At 41.3% G+C, this 21,483-nt stretch overlaps 1 protein-coding gene across 5 annotated transcripts in view; it reads left to right on the plus strand.

The window, feature by feature from the left end:
• The window catches only part of ROR1 (receptor tyrosine kinase like orphan receptor 1), a 407,482-nt gene that overhangs the window by 298,568 nt on the left and 87,431 nt on the right, over positions 1-21,483 (plus strand). The window lies entirely within an intron of this gene.

Genomic DNA, 21,483 nt, shown 5'->3' on the forward strand with positions numbered 1-21,483 from the left:
AGAACAAAGACCTCAAAGCCTGTTGTTGACAGAAACCACGCTAGTGTTTAATACATGACGTCATCCTAGTAAAAATAATAGTTCCCACAGGTCTGCCAGGGAATGGGAGAGCCGGGGTTATCTGTACCCACACATGCCAGGAACCTCAGGGGTGCTGGCAACTGGTATATGATCCTGACCCAGCTTCCAACTAGCTCCATGGCATGTCTGAGGGAGGGGCTTCGTGGATAGTATCCTACTCTGAGTTCCAAACACACAGATCCCAACGTCTGGATTCCACCTCTGCTAGACACCAGCTTGTAGCAGAGACCTTAGCTGGGAGCCTGGTTTTTCCCAAATGTAAATTCAGATAAGAATTCAACCCCTACTAGAGTAGTTGTGATGAAAAAACAAGATAAATAAAATAAACAAGATTTAAAGGAAATGCTAACTGCAAGAGAGCCTTTGGTATTCATGGTAGCCTCACCCACTTCTGTGTGCTCCTCTCTCACCTATGCAGAAGCATTGAAATTCCAGGCTTCATCTCCAGTCTCACCACCCTGAACCCCTACTTTGCTTAGCTTCCCTCCTCTATGTAAATTTGTTTTATTTATTTAGGCCTTTTGTAAGGTGTGTGAAGGTATCTGGGCTAAGAGAGTGGAAGGTCAGTGAACCCCTGAGAAAATACTAGCCACTTGGGGGTCCTCATTCTTGCCCAATCAGTCAGAAGATCCAACTACTCCTCTGTGTGCCCCTTCCTGCTCCATGTGCTCCTTTATTTTACCCATTTTTCTCCATGGTAAATGCAAGTGTAAGGCTTTGAAGGCACAGGGGAGCCTCTACAAGCCCTGAGTGGAAATTCGCAGCCAGTATGTGAAAGCATGACTTCAATTTTTTGAAGACTGGGCCCTAAGAACTGGACATGATGAAGCTTACCAGTTTGCCAATCTTCACCTTCTGTTTTCTTCCCCTGAGAGTTTCCACTAGAAATTCCCCAGCTTTGGTTTGAGTGCTTGGCTCTGTAATCTTGGAGACACTCTGCATACACCCCACAATTAAGACATCGCAACTCCATGCAATGTTTCTTCAGAGAAAGTTAGATGCAATTAGATCATTTGAAGATGGATTAGCCTGCCATCTGCACAATATTAAGAAAAATCATGTTGGCAAATGATGGGGCCTCTTTGAAGAGCTCTGAAGGAAAGCCACTAATGGGCTCTACACTGGGTTTCCCCCCTGTTCCCGAAGGGTTAACACAATGTGTGGGAAAGGAAAAAAAAATCCCCTGTGGCATTAAAATGCTGTGTCAGAGATTTGTAAGCTCCCCTTTGTAGCTCTGCCCTGGGGCCTGGCTCACTTCAGTGGAGATGAGGTTAATAAGACCTCTGTTGCTGCTTGGCAGTTCTTAACGGGGTTACAGTCTGGTGCCTGACCAGTGAAGGACAGTTATTATTAAAGTGCTGAGGAATTTAATTCAATAAGGTCAGGGACATCTGCTGTGCTTGCTTGCCCAATGTCCATTTATTCTTCTTTTTACAAGAACTGCTTGCTTTTCCTTTGCGGAAAACCACCTCATGCCCATTCTGTCTAGGTGGAGCTGACCCTTACCTAAATCAGGGTGGCCACATGACCAAGCCAGCCCAGTTAGTGTATTTGGGTATCCAACCGTGCCCCAAAGTCACTGGACTTGTCAGTTACATAAGCCTATAAACACCTTTACCCCTCAACCCTCATTTTTCTTTTTCAGCTTCTGCAAGGTGGAGTAGCTACATTAACTATTTAAGGGATTAAATGGCATGAAGTATAATTAGATAGAAACTAAACTCTGTGGGAAGTCAAGAGAGGGAGAGGTTGATGTGGGTGGGTGGGCTTCCTGGCAGAGGCTGAACTTGAACTGATCTTAAAGGATGGAGAGGATTAGGTGAGACCAAGAGAATGCAGAACTCTGTGCAAGGCACAGAGGGAGGGAGAACTCAGTTAAAATGAAGATCTGTGGACAAGAAATGAAAAGTGGGTTTTGACAAATAGAGGCAGGGAAAATGCCAGAGGACTTGGAATCCCAGGATGAGAAGTTTGAACTTACCTGGATAGTTCCCCAGTGTGGACTTATGTATGGGTGGGGAAAATCCACACCAGATTGTGCTACCAGTTTGGGCAAGTATATGACTCTATGCCTTACCTGTGTTAGAGACTGGCACAGGTGCAGGCAGGGCACTAACCTTGGCTCCGCCACTTAATAACTGAGCAACAATGGGGGAGTTACTTAACCTCCAAATCTCAATTTTTTTCCATCTGCACAATGAAGATAAATAATAACCTGACATTCAGTGTTTGTGAGGATAAAATGAGATAACCTACGTGGGAGCCCTTAGGATAGTACCTGGCACATGATAATAATAGTAGATAATATCTGTTGAGTGCTTATTAGTGTTCCCGAGGCACTGTGCTAAGCTCCTGACATACCTTATCTCATTTAATCCTCCCAATAGCCAGTGCTTTAAAAATGTTGGCTGAATCCGATTTGGGGTAACCTTGTCATTCCTGTGCTTGATCAAACAATAAGCTTATCAGACATTTACTGTCCAATGAGAGCTGAATACATAATCTGAATATTCAAGTTCTAATTTCTTAATACACACCCTAAAATGTTTTAAATTTAATAAAATTACACTTCAGAACATCTAGAGAATAGAGTAAAAAAAATGTACATATAACTTCACTAACCACAACAGAACCATGTTTTTCTAATATAGAGGGGGTTAAGATTATCTGCTTTTAGGCCCACCAGATCACCACAGTGTGATCTGGGGCAAGTTACTTTATCTTCTCTCAGCCTTAGTTTCCTCATCTGTCCTTATACGATGTTTCTAGAAGCTTCTTCATAGGGGTTTTTTGTTTTGTTTTTGGCAAGGTTTAAGAGTGATAATTCATGCTGTATGGAGCATCTGACACATAATACACCATCAATGTTAGCTCCTATGAATGCCTCCAGTCACTGTCCTATACATTTTCCCTGTGATTGCAATAACCGTGTATATGCAGTTGCATCCTTATTTTTTCACTTAACACTGTATCTCAGGCATCTTTATAAGTAACAAGATCTCCCTGTCCCTCATTCCTAATGTATATGTTCTCCTAAAATCACTTTAAGTGTATCAACTTGCTCTTGCTTCATCTTTTAAAAACATGTATAAGTAATGCTACACTCCACACCTTTACGCTTAATGGCTCTAAGAGTTCACGTTTCAGTGCACCATCTCTTTGAGTTCAAATTATGGTTCTGCCCACACCTTTTCAGAATGTGGTGAGAATGAATGACACCCAAGTCAGGAAAGGCCTTTGACAAATTGCAGATTATGCTGGCTTGATAAGTGACCACAGGAAAGTATGATTGTCACTTTTCCAGCAGTGGGTTTCCTCCAGTGTGATATTCTGTGCCTCACCTATCAAGAGGTGTTACTGTGGGTCTTCCTGTCAGCTCAGTTCTCCTACCCTTCTTGCTGACAGAGGAAGAAGAATCCCACTACCTTTTAGCTGGAGGTTATTCTCCTGATCTCACTGAATCTTATTTCTTGGAGTAGCAAGGAATCTGCAAAACAATTTGAGGCTGTCTTTCTGTTGCAAATCAAAGCCCCAACCTCTTATTTGGGTCTTAGAGCAAGAGTTCCCCAAGTACTTTGAAATTGGACCCTTCTGTACACACCTGGAGTCACCAGTAAGCCTTGCCCATAGATTCCCTGGTGGATGGACACACAAAGCTAAGGGCAAAGGTGACCTTTTCATTTCTTCTTCAGGTCCTACAATGCCTTTGAAATCTTTATGATCTGCACCTTCAGGGATTATACAAACAGCTTGAGGAAATCCTAAAATTGTGTTTTCTCCAGATAAGCATCCAGGTCAAAGGAAAGACCTCTGCATGCCTTCCTGATAGAAAGAAACTTGCCTCAATTTAGAGAATGCCACCAAGAACAAAATTGGCATGCAGCCATTTGTGCAGTGCATTAAAAACCAGTTTACAAATAGTGGTACAATTCTGGAAGTGTCAGACCTCATAGTGTGGTGTAGTGGAAGTCCACAGACTATTTACCATATTTCAAATGTCTTACTGTTTTTAAACAGCAGCACAGGATAACCAGAGTAACACATTTCTTTGTTTCTGTCTCGAATAACATCAATTAAGTAAAAATAAAATTTATTATCATGCAAGTTATAAGCTTTCCTTGGCAATTATATTTTGATATATTTATATGCTAATTTTAACAAATTTTGGTTAACATATCTTACAGCAGTATTTTTTATATTAATAATGGTAAGAGGAACAGTTACTTTTTTACTTAGCTATTAGTTAATTGAGATTATTTTAAAAGCTGTGTGACGTTGGAAAACTGATTAACTAATACAGGTATTTATAAGATGTTTGGTCTAAAATAAGGTATTTAAACTACCTGAGCCTCAGTTTCCTCATATAGAAAAAATATACCCTCCTCATATGGCTGTTATAGGGGAAAAAGACACAATATGCAAAGCACATAGTACGGAGGCAAAGTATCTGGCACATAGTATGGTTCAATAGATAAATAATTTTCCCATAGAAACTGCAAATTTATATATGAGACAAAAAACATTTCAAGTATATGTTCTTGAGGGCAGGGAGATGTAAGGTTTTTAAAGGTTCTTTGATAAAAAGGTTGGAGCATGGCTCTTTGGCTCTGATCACTCCATTGGATACTTAAAACAATGTTCAACTCTGTCATCAGAATGAAATGTCCACTGATTCATCTCCATTTCTTAACTACCAAGCAACGTTCTTTTGAGGGCTTTCACACCCTCACGTATCCTTTCCACCTGAACCTCAGTGGCTGACTTTACCCCAGGCCCTGAAGGCAGAGGTGGAGCTGAGCTCTGTGTCTGGGAAGAGAGAAGCAGGCACGTCCTCTGATCCTTGCCCAAGGGCCTGCTTTGTGAGTGGGGCATCAATGCCGCTTTTGTTCCACCTTTAGCGTCTGGCCCACAGCTGAACTCAAAGAGGCTGGCTGCTCGGGGCAACCCTGGCCCACAAAGGACAGACAGCACCAAGCCCAGCCAAGGGTTCACTCAAGACCCCAAGATCCAGCACGGTGGTTCTCCCCACTGGGGAGGCAGCCTCAGGGAACATTCTGTCTGCCTTTGGCATTCTAAACCATTTCTAATTTCATGAAGATAAGTCAGAGGTTTTAAATGTGATATCACTGCTGAAAAGGCCAGAGCCATCAGCGTAGAACCAGCATGTCCTTGCTAATTACAATACACAATCATTGCCTTATGTTGATGCAGTCATTTGCTCATTCATCAGCTATTAATTGAGTTCCTACTATGTGCTCAATGTGATGCTCAATGTGAGGGACATGGAGGTGAAAAGATGATGTCCCTGCCCTTAACTCTCTGGTGTACTGGCAAATAAACTGTCACCTGCTAAGACAAATAGAACATAATATCTGGACACTATAACAAAAACCTGGAGAAGCAGAAACAGTCTACATAAGGGGCCAATAATAACCATTGCTACAGTTGATCAAGCATTTGCTGTGTGCCACTCACTGTGCTAAGCACTTAGTGTGTATTATCTCATTTAATTCTTAAAACACAGCTATAATAGTAGTTTGATTCTCTTCCTATCTCTCTGGGAAAGGCCATGCAAAGAAAATGGCATGTGAGGGTCTTGGAAAAAGAATAGGAGTTTGCCAACTAGACAAGCAGGGGAGATCATTGCGGGCACAGGAAACAAAAATGATCTGTTTGGAGAACTGCAGATCTTTGGTATGTGTGGAGCAAAGGGAATATGCAGGGCCTCGTGTGAGAATAGTGATTGCAGTGAAGTGAGAACTAAGTGGGATGAAGCTTCAAATGTGGAAGACTGTAAGCAGAGCTAAGATGTCGAGGAAGGAGACTCGGTAGGATAGTGCTTCAGTTAGAAGGAGGGATGGCCACGTTTGTTGGTTCACTTTTGAGATGCAGAGCCTATTCCTAGGGTAGGCTATGAGAAGGGAACAATGAGAGGGAGAAACTAAAAATGCCGGACAGAGAGTGACTAGTGGAGACAGGACCTCACCCTCCTCTGATTGGAAGAAAGATAAGAAGAGAACCAAAGACATAGACACATTCTAAGAATAGGTGTTGGGAGGCAGAACACAGGTAAGAGGGGGCAGAAGGAAAAGATACGATCTTAAGAGTTGTACCTGCATGACGCCTGATGTCTCTGAGGTTAAAGGCAAGTCCAACAAGGAGAGTGAGAGGTGACAGAGTATTATAGAGGCCTTGGTGAAAGGAGTAAAAGTTTGGAGTCATTGTTGAGTACGATGATGAGGTGCTGATAACACAAACTCTTGATTTCGAGGAAGGAGTGTTCAAAGGAGGAGGAGGAAAATGACTGCTAGAGAGAAAGGTGATGGATGGCATGTGAAAATAGTTGAGTGTGCTGAGAATCGTTGATTAGAGTGGCGAAAGGTAATGAAGGGAAGACTTAATAGGTGATTTCAGGTTCAGACATCTGAATGAGGGCATGGACCTATTCCATGCAGCTTCAGGAGACAGAACGAGGTCCAACAAGTGGTCATTCCTAGGAGACAGATTCTCTACCCCCAAACATTAAACATTAAAACATGTAAGTAAGTGTACATTAAAAACATTAAAATGTGTAAGTAAGTAGCACTATCCAGCAATGGAATAATCTGCCTCTTGAAGGATTTCAATCATCTGCCAAGGATGTTGTGCTGGAAATTTGGTATGCTTAATTAGATGGCTTCTTCTATCTTTTTTAATACTAACATATCATAGATACTTAATATATGGAGCATTGAAATAGATAGCAGCCAATTTTGGCATTCTTGCAGGTTGTCCCACTGTCTGAGCAAGAGAATCTTGATTGGGATTTTTTTTTTTTCTTTTTTGGAGACAGAGTCTCGCTTTGTTGCCAGGCTGGAGTACAGTGGCGCAGTCTCGGCTCACTGCAACCTCCACCTCCCAGGTTCAAGCAATTCTCCCACCTCAGCCTTCCAAGTAGCTGGGATTAGCTGGGATTACAGGCACCTGCAACCACGCCCAGCTAGTTTTTATATTTTTAGTAGAAACGGGGTTTCACCATGTTGGCCAGGCTGGTCTTGAACTCCTGACCTCAAGTGATCTGCCCTCCTCGGCCTCCCAAAGTGCTGGGATTATAAGCATGAGCCACCGTATCTGGCCTTGATTGGAATTTTCAGTAAGATTTATGCAGTTTAAGAACTGTGGAAACAATCTTGATTTTTTTTTTTATTCCAGGAGGATTTTTGTTAAGATTAGCAGAAGCCATGCTCTAGTTTGAGAAAAATACACATGGTATTATTGAGTTAACAGGCATGATGTGTATATAATACTTACTATGGAGAGGGCTTCTTTCTATAATTAAGGCAGAATGCCCATCCCTTCTCATTGTGGATCTGGAGAGGACCCTTAGCTGGGATGACTAAAGGAGGAGCCTCTGTTCTTACCTGATTTGGAGTCCTCTTCTCATCATGAAAGATGTTTGCGCATCTTTCATGCCCTGTACCTTTCTTTTCATTTGCCCCCTGCATTTGGGATTGGTTGCTTTCTTTTTTGGAACCTATGAGACTATTTCAGTGGTTCTCAACTGAGGGTGATTTTGACCCTCAGAGGGCATTTGACAATATCTAGAGATATTTTTGATTGTCATGACTGGAGAGGGATGCTGCTGGCATCTGGTGGGTAGAAGGCAGGGATGCTGCTCAAAGCCCTACAGCGCACAGGACAGCCGCTCTCAACAAAGAATCAGCCAGCCCAAAATGACAATAGTGCTGAGGTTAAGAGACCATGGTCTGTTTTTAAGTCTTCCTTCTAAATCAGCTGCCACCAATACACTCTGTAAAACCCCAGATGCCTACTTTTATTTTCTAATTTAAGAACTGTTGTGTGGTTGAATACTCTGTCTCTGTGAACTCTACCCCCACCCATCCCGTTCTTCATGCTGTAGCAATAAGAAGGACATTTTAAACTCCCTTTGACCAGAAAAGTCACTTTTGGTTAGGGTCCAAACAAGAAACACATCCCTCCCTGGATAAAGGCAGAGATGCCACAGCTTGCAGAGAAAAAACATCAGACATTTCCCAATGGCAGCAACTCTGGGCCAAGAGTACGGATGGAGGACAAGCTACAGATACAGCCACATGGTGCCCTTCATTTGCTTTTGAGTAGGAGCTCACACTGTCTTTAAAAGATTGGACAGTAGAGCTCAGCCATGAAGGGCCCCTGTAGCCTTTCCAAGCCAGGATAAGACCAAGACGGTGGTATGAAAGCAACTGTGACTTTGGCACAAATACAGACTGAGAAAATGGTACCTGACTAGGTTACTCTTATGACCCTCTGAGAATCCCCACACAGCACATGCTAACATGTACCTACACCTCTGTGTCCCAAATTAGGCTGAAGTTTTCAGTTAGCCAGATCATAAATTAGGCCTTTGTAGCTCTAAGATCCCCTACCCCTGAAGAATCCTAGGAAAGCCTCCCTTACTACACTTCATGACTCAGCATTGATAGCCTGCTCCAACAGAAATAGCCCAAGGCTGAGATTTCCCTTCTCATCCCTTATGTTTTTCAGGCTGAGCAGTCATAGGGAAATCATTCAAACTCTTAGAACCTAGGTTTTCTTATCTCTGAAATGAAGACATCGACCTTCCAATTTCTGGGAACCTGTATTGAAAAAGTACTCTCAAATACGGACATAATTTTATGTACAAAGTTACTTATTGCTTCATTATTTAATGTTAGACATATTGTGAAATAGATTAAATATGACACATTTATAGAATGGAACATTATGTACCCATGAAAAAATAATATACATGAAGAGTTTCATTGGCTGTGAAAAATGCTTGTGCTCTAATGTCAAGAATAAGAAGCAGGCCGGGCTTGGTGGCTCACACCTATAATCCCAGCACTTTAGGAGGCTGAGGTGGGAGGATTGCTTGGGCTCAGGAGTTCGAGACCAGCCTGAGCAACATAGGGAGACTCTACAAAAAATAAAAAAATTAGCCAGGTTTGGTGGCCCATGCCTGTGGTGCCAGCTACTCAGCAGGTTGAGATGGGGGGATTGCTTGAGCCTGGGAGATCGAGGCTGCAGTGAGCCATGATTGCACCGTTGCACTCCAGCCTAGGTGACAGCGCGAGACACTGTCAAAAAAAAAAAAAAAGCGGCAAAATATAACACCCCCCACACACATACACAAACACACATTTATATGCTTATAGTATGATCTCAATTCTATAAAATATGTATAGAAAAAAGTCTGGAGGGAAACCAAACTATTACCAAGAGTTTATACTTTGTTTTATGTTAGTATGTTTATAACGTTTTTAATAAAAATAAAGCTGAGGTATACAATAATTCTTTTCCCTTTAAAAGCAGAGCATATAACTCTCAAGATTGAGAAACACTGATTTACAGCTGTAGACAGAACTGGGGCCAGAGATAAAATTTTGGAGTCATAGATGTTTTAGTAGAGATTGATTACTGGATAAGATCACCTAGGATGAGCCTGTAGAGTGAGAAGAGATGAGAGCCAAGGCTTGAACCCTGGGAAATACTGACATTTAGGGAATGGATGAGGAAGACAAGCCAGAGAAGGGAATAAGTTCGTGGCAGTAATCCATATGAGATAATAACCTATATGGATTACCATGGTGGCGTTGGGACATGCAAGGGAATGATAAAGCTGATAGGCATTTTAAAATAAATTAAGGGTTGTAAATTACATGTACAAGATGAGGGTAATGGAAAAGCCAAATATTACTTAAACCTCTCTAGTTTGGAATATGGAAGAATGCTGATATCAAGGAAAGCAATGGGATAGTTGAAAGAGATGCATATATGGTAGGAGTGGGGAAGAGGTTAGGCTTAGTCTTGTATGAGTTGGGTTTGAGATCTCTCTTCAAGAAAATAACTGCTCTAAGAAGTGCAGTTATCTGAAAGTCCCCAGCTGCAGCCCCTTGGGGATCGGCCATACCATGCAAGCTGAGGTCACCCTCTGCCCAGGCAGCTCTCAGCCATGACTAAGCTTAGAAGCAGCATTAGAGCTGATCCTCTCTGCCCATGCGAGCCTCCTCTAGTAAGTAGGCAGTCCTTGCACGTGGGCTCCCCACTAGGCTGACCCAGATTCTGAGGGCTGACCTTGGTTTAAGCTCTTCCCATTCAATCTCCCTTCTTCCCACTCTTCTTTCTCAGATATCAAGTCTGTATCATGGTCTGAATGCTCTCCCTGCCTGCTCTTCTCTCTCTCCCTCTTTCTCTTCCACAAACACTGCCCCCAGTAAATCTCTTGCACTTTGAATTCCATCTTGGTATCTGCTTTCCAGAGGACCAGAACCAACACAAGTGATGGTTACATATCCAAAAGAAATTATTGTGGAAGGAAAATAGTACAGTTCTTGAAAGCAATCAGGATTGAGGGATAACTGAATCTCAAGAGTCTCCCTAATAGCATAATTAGAGGGAGGAGTGGAGGACAAGGTTTGAATCTTATGTTACAGTCATAATTGGGAAAGAGTACAGTTAGTCTTGTAATTGGGAAGAGAATTCAGGATGGTGGGGGGAAGTTATTGAAAAAGTAGAAGGAAACTCTGGGAAGTGTAGGATCATAGAACATGAAATAGAGAGAGAGCTTTTTAGGAACAGGTGATAATCAGCGCAGATGTCATCAAAGAAAATCTGAGTAGGGACTGAGGTCTTGTATTTAGAGACTGACAGTGTGGCTGGCTGGCCATCAAGTGATTATTTCAGGGAAAGAATGAGAATAGGTGCCAAGTTTACAGGAATGAAAAAGAAACATAGTGGGAAATAGCTGGAGGTAATGACAGTAGACCTCACATTGAAAATGTTTGTCCATGAATGAGAGGAGGGAAATTGAGCTAATTAGAGTAATAATTTCCAAGATTGAGTGTGTGTGTTTTAGGAACACCTAACCATTTCCAGAAGAGGGCTTTAAAGGTGCTAGAGAGAGAGAGAGAAAAAAAAAAAAACAACCATTGTAGAATTAAAATGCTGAAAGCAGTGGGAAGAGAAAAGCTACTGAGGCCAGAGGGAGGGGTTAGATTTTAAACGGAAGAGAGAAACCTCTTTTCTGGAACGTGGCAACAAGAAGATGGCAGAAATGACAGAGATATAAGGGGTGAGAGTGAAGAACCTCACGCTTAGAATGTGTTCCTGGTACAAAAGTAACAAGACCAACCTCTAAGAATAAGAGAATGAGATGGGGAAAATGTGTAAAGAGAGTGGAGATGATCAGGAATGGCTGGTGAGCATACTGTTATTCCTTAAGAAATGTGATGGGGCAAAGGAAAATCTTGCCTTAAATGCATGAAGTTGGATCTCTGTCAAGTACTGGTCCAAAGGACTGTGACTCTAATTGGTAAGAAAGAACTAATAAGGTCCTGGCATTTCTCTTACATCTTGAATTTTCCTAGTTCAACTATAACTCAAGTGTTCAGAGAAACAAACTGGCTTTACGCAGTCCACTTTTGTAATTATCAACAATCATAGAAAAGGAACTAGTATATAGCTACTTATTTGCTTTGTTTGAATGGCACTGTACTTTATCATAACAATGGGTGATAAAGATGATAAAAATATCCAAGAACCACAATGCTCTATGTCAGAACTAGGTTGACTGGAGAAGAAATGCTCTCTGAAGCAAACGTTCTGGATACTCAAAGACTGGATTTGTACAGTGGTCTTTAGGCGTTATAACTCTGTCCAGGTCTCTCAACACTTACAGCTATCAAGGAAACTTTATTATTGATATTCTACAGAAAAAATCACGATTACTGCAAGTCTGTAAGCTCTTAAGTATTTTTCCCATTGAAATTATTGTTTCATTAATATAATATATTCAACCTTGTGCTATCTTGGGTATGCAACTCTACAGTTAGAGCAGATCAAAGGGCAGTAGCCTGAAAGGAGCTGAATGACAAAATCCATGGCATTTCTCATTAGTCTTAGCCAGAAGTGGCTCTTTATGGAGAGGACTCATCCTGGTCTTGTGAAGAGAAATGCACTGAAACTGGAAAGGAATGAGCTGGCCACATCAGTTTCTTCAAAGCTGCCAGTTGATATGTCTATGTCTGCAAGTATGACTTATGCCTGTTAATTACCCCCCAAACTCCTTCAACAGACAAAGCTCTTTATTCTGCTGACTTTGAAGTATAATTTGGGGATGCCTTGAGAAGGTCAACGCGACAGGCCAGCTTTTGCCCTGCAGTGGGCTGTGCAGGTGTGTGCTAGCTGTTGGCTTCCAGGCCTGTTTTATTCCAGCCCTGGCAGAGTTTGCAGGAATGTCATGAGAAGAGATTTATAATACTTTCTGATTCCATCCAGTTTCAAATAATTTTATGAATAATCTTTCTCATAGCATACTAGTAATTCTACAAGCAGTCTTGGCCAAAATCAACGGAGTGAGCATGCTTAAGGAAATAATTTTCTTTTTCCTTTTTAAGAAATCATTTTGCTGAAGTTTTACAAACCTCATAAAAATTAAGGGTTGGTTTGAATTTGGGAGAAAGACTCACTTTATCTGAACTCATTTGCCAAAAATATTTAAATGAGCACATGCTGGATGTAAAAGTGCCAAAGCAATAGCATCAATTATGCATTCTCAACCTTCCAGACTTTCCAGAGTCATTAAAAGGCAGCGTTTTCCTACAGGTGTTAATGGGATCCTGCAAAGAGGAAGGTGGTTTTAGGTAGGATTGTGACAGAGTGGCTCGTGCGTTGGGTGCTATGGAACCCACTGAGGGGCTTCTGACCACAGTCCCATGCAGAGCCAACAATGGCATTCGTTGTTATAAGCAAGTGTCAGTCACAAGAGAGCTGCCATTACAGAGTGTTGCCCAGCTTTCCATATTCCCAACATGGCCAGAGGTTTCATTCTTTGAGAATGTGTTTATTCAGCCTAGTAAAAACATTAAAAAGGGGAATAAATCTCTGCCGACCCCAAAATGCTTTTCACCACAGCTGTAAACCATAAAACATTTAGAAAGGTAAGCAGGACTAAAGATAATATAGTTTCCCCAAGCAGCAAGGAGGGCAGACCTGGAGGTGGCCCTTGCAAAGACAGCTGCAGTGCACAGAGCTTCCCTGCAAAATCATTAAGAAAGGGACAGGTTCTATAAGGTGCTAAATTATTATTAGTTTTTTTTTAAGTTGGGGGAGGGCAATAATAAAAACCATGTGCTCAGCAGCCTGCTTGGCCATATAAAACAGAAAGGCCTGTGACTTTAAGTGTTGTAAAAGGGGTTAATTGTCGATTTCTGAATGTGGCAAGTTTACTGATCTTGTTAACAGCAACGGGGCATGTGCCGTTGGTTATCATGGCGGGAAAGAAAAACAGCCATCCATCCCTTATTCCCTGGATGCCGTTATTAGTCTTGGAACCCAAGTTAAGGGACATATGGGTGAATGCAGTCTTAAAATTGCTCCTTTCCACCTGTCCAAATTTCTACCCATTCTAAAGCTTCCAGTTCCACCTAACAACTGCATTTTTACTGCCATTTTTCAAATGCCTGCTGTGGATCAGTTCCTTTCACACAAAATGTGTTGTCTATTTGTATGACAACCTAATGGAGTGGGCAAGGATGATACAACCATTTTACAGACAAAGCAACTGAGGTTCAGAGAAGTTAAGAAAGTTATCTATGGCGACAGAGCTATGAAGCAGAGGTTCAAACCCGTCTTTATATTCCAAGTCCAGGTCTTTTCAACTAGTTATTCAAATAATTCATTTGTTCATCCATTTACTCAATAGATAGTTATTGGCCATGCACTAAGAGCCGGGTGCTGGTCTAGTTGTTGAGGATAGAGCCCTGGACACAACTGACAATGTTCCTGCCATCACAAGGCCTATAGTTTAGGAAGCACTAGTCTAACTTCCAATAACCATCCTCTCTTCTAACCTACTTTCACATGCACAGTCAGCATCTGTAATTTGATATTTTATTTTGCTGTTGAGTATTGCACATTACCTTTGAGTATGGTGTGTTACCTTTGGCTCCCCCAGCTAGATGATGAGCCTGGTGAAGGCAGGGCTGTTGTCTAATATTTCTCTTTTTCACAGTCTACCCAGCACAACCCATTAAATAAGTGCTTTTTTTCTCCTGTAGAACATCTTTATTACTGTGATCTTAAGATCATTTGGGGTTTTATTTAGAGCTTAGCTATTGCAGCTTCTGTTATTGAGCTTTGTCAAATGTTATGTTTATATTGTCTCATTAGTGCTGACACCACCCAACTATAAGACCCATTTTACAGTTGAGGAAATTGTGGCTTATGAGGGCTGAGAAACTTGCCCGAGTTCTTAGAGTCAGTAAGAAGAAAAGCTAGGATTCTGCCAGTGGCTGAATTCAAAAGCCCAATTTCTGTATACCATGTACTTGAGCCTGAGCAGTGAGGGAATCTTTGCCCACCTGAAACATATAGAGAATATCAAAAGACCCTATGATATGATATACATGATACATAAGGTGAATTTAATACCAGCCATTGATTCATCCAGTCACTCCAATCACTCAGACCTTCATAGTAAAATTCATGTGGCATCTTGGCTCCTGCCCCACCCTCTATTTTGTGGTCTTCTTAAAATGCTATCTTTTTTCAATAGAATAATTTTCAAAGGAATCCCTGTGTTCCTAGAAAGGTGACAAATCAGAGATTGACTAGCATGAGGAGGGTAGTGGAAGGTTCACACCTGTTTGTAATAACTGGCTTATACAAAACGTAAGTACGAACACAATGGATGGCGATTGTGTTCTGCCAATGCGGTTGGCATTCATTCTGAGAAAAGATGGCAGACCAAGGCCAGAGCATGGCCCAGTTGCTGAAAATCAGAACCACACTGGAGCCACCAGGGACCCTGGTAACTAGGTGGAGCTGAACCATTTATTTCTGTTTTGATGGCATAGTTTCCACTTTAAGTAATGTGGGCTTAATCTTCATTTACATTCTTCAATCTACACAGAAGTGTATTTATTATTGTCTTGTGATAAGCAGTAGTGTTAATATAAAGCAGTGCTCCCTGAAACTGCAGACAGTTTCCAAGGTCTGGGCAAAAAGAAACAAAAATGTAGGGAGGGGAGCCCTGCAGCATGACAAGAGTTTTTGAAAATGAAAACCAAAAAAATTTTAAAGAAAATGAATCCTAATCCTTTTGGAACTTTCATCAGTCAGTCTGTCGACAAGGAACTGATAATTTCTGAATGTGAAGATTTGGATAACAAATGAGTTACATGTATAACTAGGCTTTTGCTGGGTTTCTCTATGTAGATAATGACTCAACTGGTGAGTACCATCAGAGAAAGGCCAGTACACTGGGTGGCCTGTGGATGCTTGTGTTTATTTGATGCAAGGCTCCTGCTTTCGTTGGGGATTGCTGGAAGAGTGACACACACCAAGCTACATTTCTGCCAGTTGTGGTTTTGAGATAACAAGGCTTAAAATTTGTATGCCAAAGTTAAAATTCATGATCTTTTTCCTGTGGGCACATTTTAGTTCAGTCTCTTTGCTCAAAAGAATTTGACACCAATTATTGCTTTTCAGTACTATTGAGCATGAGACAATCTATAGAATAATCCAAAAAGGAAGATCTATAATTATACACCTTCTCATAAAGGGATCATGGATATTATTGCTATGTATGTCCAGAATAGCTCTTCTTACTTTTGAGGAGTAACTATTAGAGTCTTACCAGGTGCCAACCACAGTGCTTCACATTCTTGCCACAGAGACTGGTCCAAGGATAGGCAGATGACAAAACCAGGCAAATTCTAATTCTTCCACAAATGTTTTCTAATATAGAGCTGCCAAAATTGCTCTCCTGCATTTTTTAGGTGTGCAATTGCAATATAAATCTGAAAATGCCCATGGCCATGAAAGATCTGGAAATGAAAAATAGCATTATCTGATTCTTTGGATCTAGTCTTCCCTGAGCCAGCTCCACTTTTCCCATGCATGGGGCGGGGGGGTCGGGGCTAGCGAGCTAATAAATATCCTTTTATTGCTTAAACTAGCTCCAGTTCTGATCCCACCATTTGTAACCAAGTGTCCTGAGTGACATAAATAATTAAATCAGGCCCAGAGAAATATGACCCTTAGTATCTGACAATTAGGAGAAGCATACAAACCATAAATTAAATGACATAAAAATAATTCTTATGCAAAAGACAGTATACCTCAAGACATGAAGGGTTGTTTTGAAATCCTTGGAAAGCAATACAGACTGCAGAATATAATTCTTGTGGGAGAATCAGTCTCCACAGTGTTTTCTGCAGAACTGAGAAAGTATCACCTACCTGCCAGAGCAGGGCTTTAAAATGACAAATCTGGTTTGTTCTGGACACAGTGATTTTTTTAAGAATTTTTTTTACTATACTTTAAATAATAAAAATATATTTTCATTGTTATTAAATATTATTATAATACTTTTATTGGTATTTTAGGAGCATTACTCCAAAGATGGTGAGAAATTATTATATACAAAATTGTAATGTGTTTCACCTTCAGAATGCTATTTTATTTTCTCAGCTAATGATTATTATTTTAGCAAGATTTGACAATAATAGTAAAATAATCGAACCAGTATTTTTTTTTTTGAGACATGGTCTCACTCTGTGTCTCAGGCTGGAGTGTAGTGGCATAATCATGGCTCACTGCAGACTCAACTTCCCAGGCTCAGATGATCCTCCCACCTCAGCCTCCCCAGTAGCTGGGACTACAGGCACATGCCACAATGCCCAGCTAATTTTTCGTATTTTTGGTAGAGTCAGGGATTTGCCATGTTGCCCAAGCTGGCCTTGAACTCCTGGGCTCAAGTGATACACCCACCTCAGCCTCCCAAATTGCTGGCTTTATAAGGGTGAGCCACCGCGCCAGGCCTCAAAGCAGTACATTAAGAACTGTTCGTGTAAATAAGCTCTGTTGAGGGACATTAACTGGGGAATAAAGTGGCTGGAAAGGACACATTGAACTCCTTTTTCATCTTCTCTGAAAATGTTAATAATAACTGAGACACATCTCTGTGTCTATATCTATACTTTTCATAAGTGAGGAAAGAATATGTGAAAATTTGGCCAAAACTTAAAGTTTTTGAATGCAGGAAAAGGTTTGTTATTCACAGTGGAACAGGGGAAATGTAAGAAGATGATACGGTTTGGTTGTTTCCCTACCCAAATCTCATCCTGAATTGTAGCTCCCGTAATTCTCACGTGTTGTGGCAGAGACCTGGTGGGAGATAATTGAATCGTCGGGGCAGTTTCCCCCATACTGTTCTCGTCATAATGAATAAGTCTCATGAAATCTGATGGTTTTATGAGGTTCTCATTCCCTTTTGCCTGCCACCATGTAAGACACTTGGTTCTCATTCCCTCTTGCCTGCCTCCATGTAAGATGTGCCTTTCATCTTCCACCATGATTATGAGACCTCCCTAGCCACTTGGAACTGTGAGTCCATTAAACCTCTTTTTCTTTATAAATTACCCAGTCTTGGGTGTGTCTTTATTAGCAGCATGAGAACAGATTAATACAGAAGTCTTCTGCATATTGAAGAGAAAAAGCCTATTGTCTTCTCAATGTCCAGATCAATTGCATTTATTCCAAGTCTGGGGTGTCTCATGGTTCATTCAAGGAACACTGACAGTGAGTCATGTGACAGGCCTTGGGAAAAAAACATAATTGTGTTCATAAATATTATTAAGAAAAGCAGAGGATCTCAAAAGTCAGATTTGGATGAACATTAGTTGATGCATTGAAACATGGATTATGTCAAATATCCCATGGATTCTAAGCTGCCTTAATTGTAAAAAAACTCTTTGATGCTCTGCTTAGTACGTAAGCACCTTCAATTGCTGTCAAGTGTACATACAGCAACAATTAAAGATAAACAAATAAACATATTGGGATATGCTGTCATCAGAGTACAGGGAAATGACCCAAAAGCTCAATGTTTCCAAGAGGAAATTAGTTCCGACCCCACGTGGCCATTGTTACAGACTAGAATCTGGATTTTGTTTGCTCTTGATTACACAGAGGAAGAAACAAAAAATAAGTTGTCCTGGTGATAAGCAAATGGCTGGGATGGTTTTCCTCAGTGAAAATCAATGTGATGTCTTATTCCCAGGCCTAGAGATAGGTGGGAGATGGGGAGGGAAGCTATTTAGTTTACCAGCATTACTAAAGTTGCCCTTTTTTCCCTGGTGGATTTCCTTTTCCTGATTTCAGAGCTTAGAGAACTCAGTTCTGTCTAGAGGCCCTAACATTCCACTTCCCACACTCAGCATGGGCCTATTGTCATCATGGACATTTTTTAATGTATAATTCAAGTAATCCTCAAAGCAGCCCTAATAGTTTGGTATCTTTATTGTTATCAGCCTCTCTTGAGAATCAGAAAAGTTAAATACTTTTTTAAAGATCCTGTAGATGGTTAGAGGCAGCTAGGATTCAAATACCCATCTGTCTGGATCTGAAGCCTATCTCTTAATCCCCAAACCCACTGCAACATGCAGTCCATTCTCACATGTGCAAGTGCATCTAACCCACAAATGCTTTTTTTAAAAAAAATATTAAGGATGAGCTGGTGGTGTTTCCTCCATACCCCGGCCAGTCACAGTTTAGCATCATGGGATAAGTGTGGGAAAGGTCTGACTAGAGTAGAAATACAGATTGTGCCCAGCCTTAAAACAATAACATGTTTCTTTCACATTTCACATTAACAAATCTAAACAGCTGATGAAATACTGTAATCCTAGGATTATATACCATGAGGAGCCTAAGAACCCCTTTTTAATTTATCAAAGATTCAGTATATTTGTAATCACATGTAATAAGTGAGGTTGCTGATGTAGAGGAAAAAGAAATGACAATCTTTGATCCCATTGTACCCTGGGATCCCGAAAATCATCCTTAGCCTGCTGGTAGCCAGTCTGGTCTTTGGTGTTCCTGGGCATGTGTCCCATTCTGAGCCATGGGAATACTTCTTCTCATGTCCTACCCTCTCACACATAATGCCCACCTGGTATTCTTCCTTCTCACTCCACACCACACTCCCCAACTAACCACAGCCACCATTATATTCTCTTCTTCCCTCTTCTCCCCTTCCCTGCCCTTGCTTCCTTTCTTCTCCATGTGTCTCTTCTCCTACTCTGTTCCCAACATAAGATTTAGCATGAAGCCATGCCTTTTCTCCTCAAAACTGAGTTTCTCAAAGATCATTCACCTCCATATCCCTGCAGGAAGCGATGGGTATGAGCAGTGTCTACTAGTTGGATGGACAGATCAAGGGATGGATGGGGCTTTTGACCATGTGTTTCTTTCAAGACTTGTTGAAGTCATTTTATTCAGTGAACAAATAGCCATTTTGATATCATTTCTTCTCCCCTTTCAAATTACTTATTACAATTTTGGGTGTGGGTTTATGGTGGGTGGCGGTAGTTGCCCATGCTTTTGGAGCTGAGATGTAATTCTTCCCTCCCTCCCTCCCTCCCTCCCTCCCTTCCTCCCTGCATGCCTCCCTACCTCCCTTCCTCCCTTCTTCCATTCCTTCCTTCCTTCCAGAAATTCTTTAGACAAGCAAAGAAAGAAACTTCACAGAGACTTTAAGCAGTTTATATCCAACTATGTGACTCCTAAGAGGTGACCGCAGGTGGTTTCAAAAATCTTCTGGGAATGATCCCATGTTATATAATAATGAGAACACTGAGCTTGACATCAGGAGGCCTGGCTTTAGCTTTGGTCTCCCTTTTCAGTATGCCTGGAATTCTGGGCAGATCACTTGGCCTCTCTGTGCTTAGTTTTGTCATCTGTAAATAGGGAAGGTAGGACTAATGAGTGATTTTTAAACTGTTCCTGGGAGCCCTCAAAGATTCATGGAGGTGTCTTGAGAGTCTGTCCTACAAGGGATGTTATGGTAGAGAAGGAGGTGGTTGCATAGATCAGGCAGGGCTGAGTCCCTCATTCCTACTTCAACCTGAATTAATGTTCTGGTGAAACTTTTTGAATGTATCCCATTTTTAAGCTTTCTGCTAGAAAACCTACTCCAAAAAAGTTTGAAAACTACCAGACTGGATTATCTTTAAGGTGCCTTCCAGCATACCTGACTTCAATATATAAATTATCTGTGTGTGATCTTCCTTTACAGAAATAATGGAGCCTTTCTTTTCCTCGTGTGGTTGTTGCTCTAAGAATGCATTTCTTATCAAGAGAATAATCTGCTTTTCATTCTGCTTCCTACCTAGCTCAACAGAGCACAAAATGCCCAAGCTAGATCCCTTATTCCCCTGTGAATATCTTCTGTTTAGACTCATCCATCATCGGTGGGGCTTATGACAGACATAGATGTTTTCACAGTTACCACACAGGGCCAACTGTTTTAGTAAGGGTGACCACTTAGGACAGCTTTGGGCTCTTGAGCTGTCCTCTGTTGAAGCCGGGAAACCCTAAGCTGTCATCTAAGCAACGCCGGGTTGTTCATCCACTTTGAAAGAGACAACTTTATGGTCCTGATGACATTTCCTATATTATATTAAGGATGCATCTTGAGAGGATGTGTTGGGTTTGTTTTCTGGACAAGCTGGATGAGTCTCTCTCTCTTTCTGTTTTAGCCACTGCCCTTTGTAGGGTTTGTTTTTCCTGCTGTCCCAGAATAGATGACTTAATGGGTTGCTGAAAATGTCCAGGCTGCCTCTGGCTCTGGGGGTAGCTCGGCCTTAACAATGGAAGGCATTTAGCAGAGCCTCATGTTTTAGAGCAAGAAAGACTTGAGAGAGCATCTCATCTGGTATTTTTCAAGATGCTTTTTAATTTTTTAAACAGCAAACCTTTTCTTTCCCCAATACAAATCTGACACAAAACCTCAATTTATAAAACAGATTTTTAAAAGAGGGGTGGGAGGTAGGAGAAATTCTACCAAATGGTACTTTCCTTGCTATTTATCCTCCCCCCATACTACCTCCTACCACACACACACACACTCAGCAATACCTAAGCACTTCTAGGGAACCCTTGGCCTCCCAAAAGCAATAGAAACCCCCGGTCCTGAACCTCTTTTTTTTTGTTTGTCAGGAAACTGAAAAACAGTGAGATACGGTAACTTGCCTAAGACCCCACAGCTAGAGATCTCAGTGCCAGACTGCAACACTTCTAAATCTGGTTTAATCTTCCTCTCCACCCCTCTCTAATTTATTATGCCACTTCACCTTTGAACCCTGGAAAAGGGCAGGAAGAAAAAATTATGTACCAGTGTGCTCAATTCTTGTACATCTGTCTTTAATTCTCAAAGCAACTTTACAAGGTGGGCATTATTATTATGCCCATTTTACAGAAAGGTTAAATCACTTATCCAGTGAAACTCAGCCAGAAGTGGCAGAACTTACATTGAAAGCTAGGCCTATCAAATTTCAAAGCTGTTCTTTCTACTATACCACAGGATTAAACAATGCC

This window comes from Homo sapiens, chromosome 1, assembly GCF_000001405.40.
Source record: "Homo sapiens chromosome 1, GRCh38.p14 Primary Assembly".
Lineage (NCBI taxonomy): Eukaryota > Metazoa > Chordata > Mammalia > Primates > Hominidae > Homo > Homo sapiens.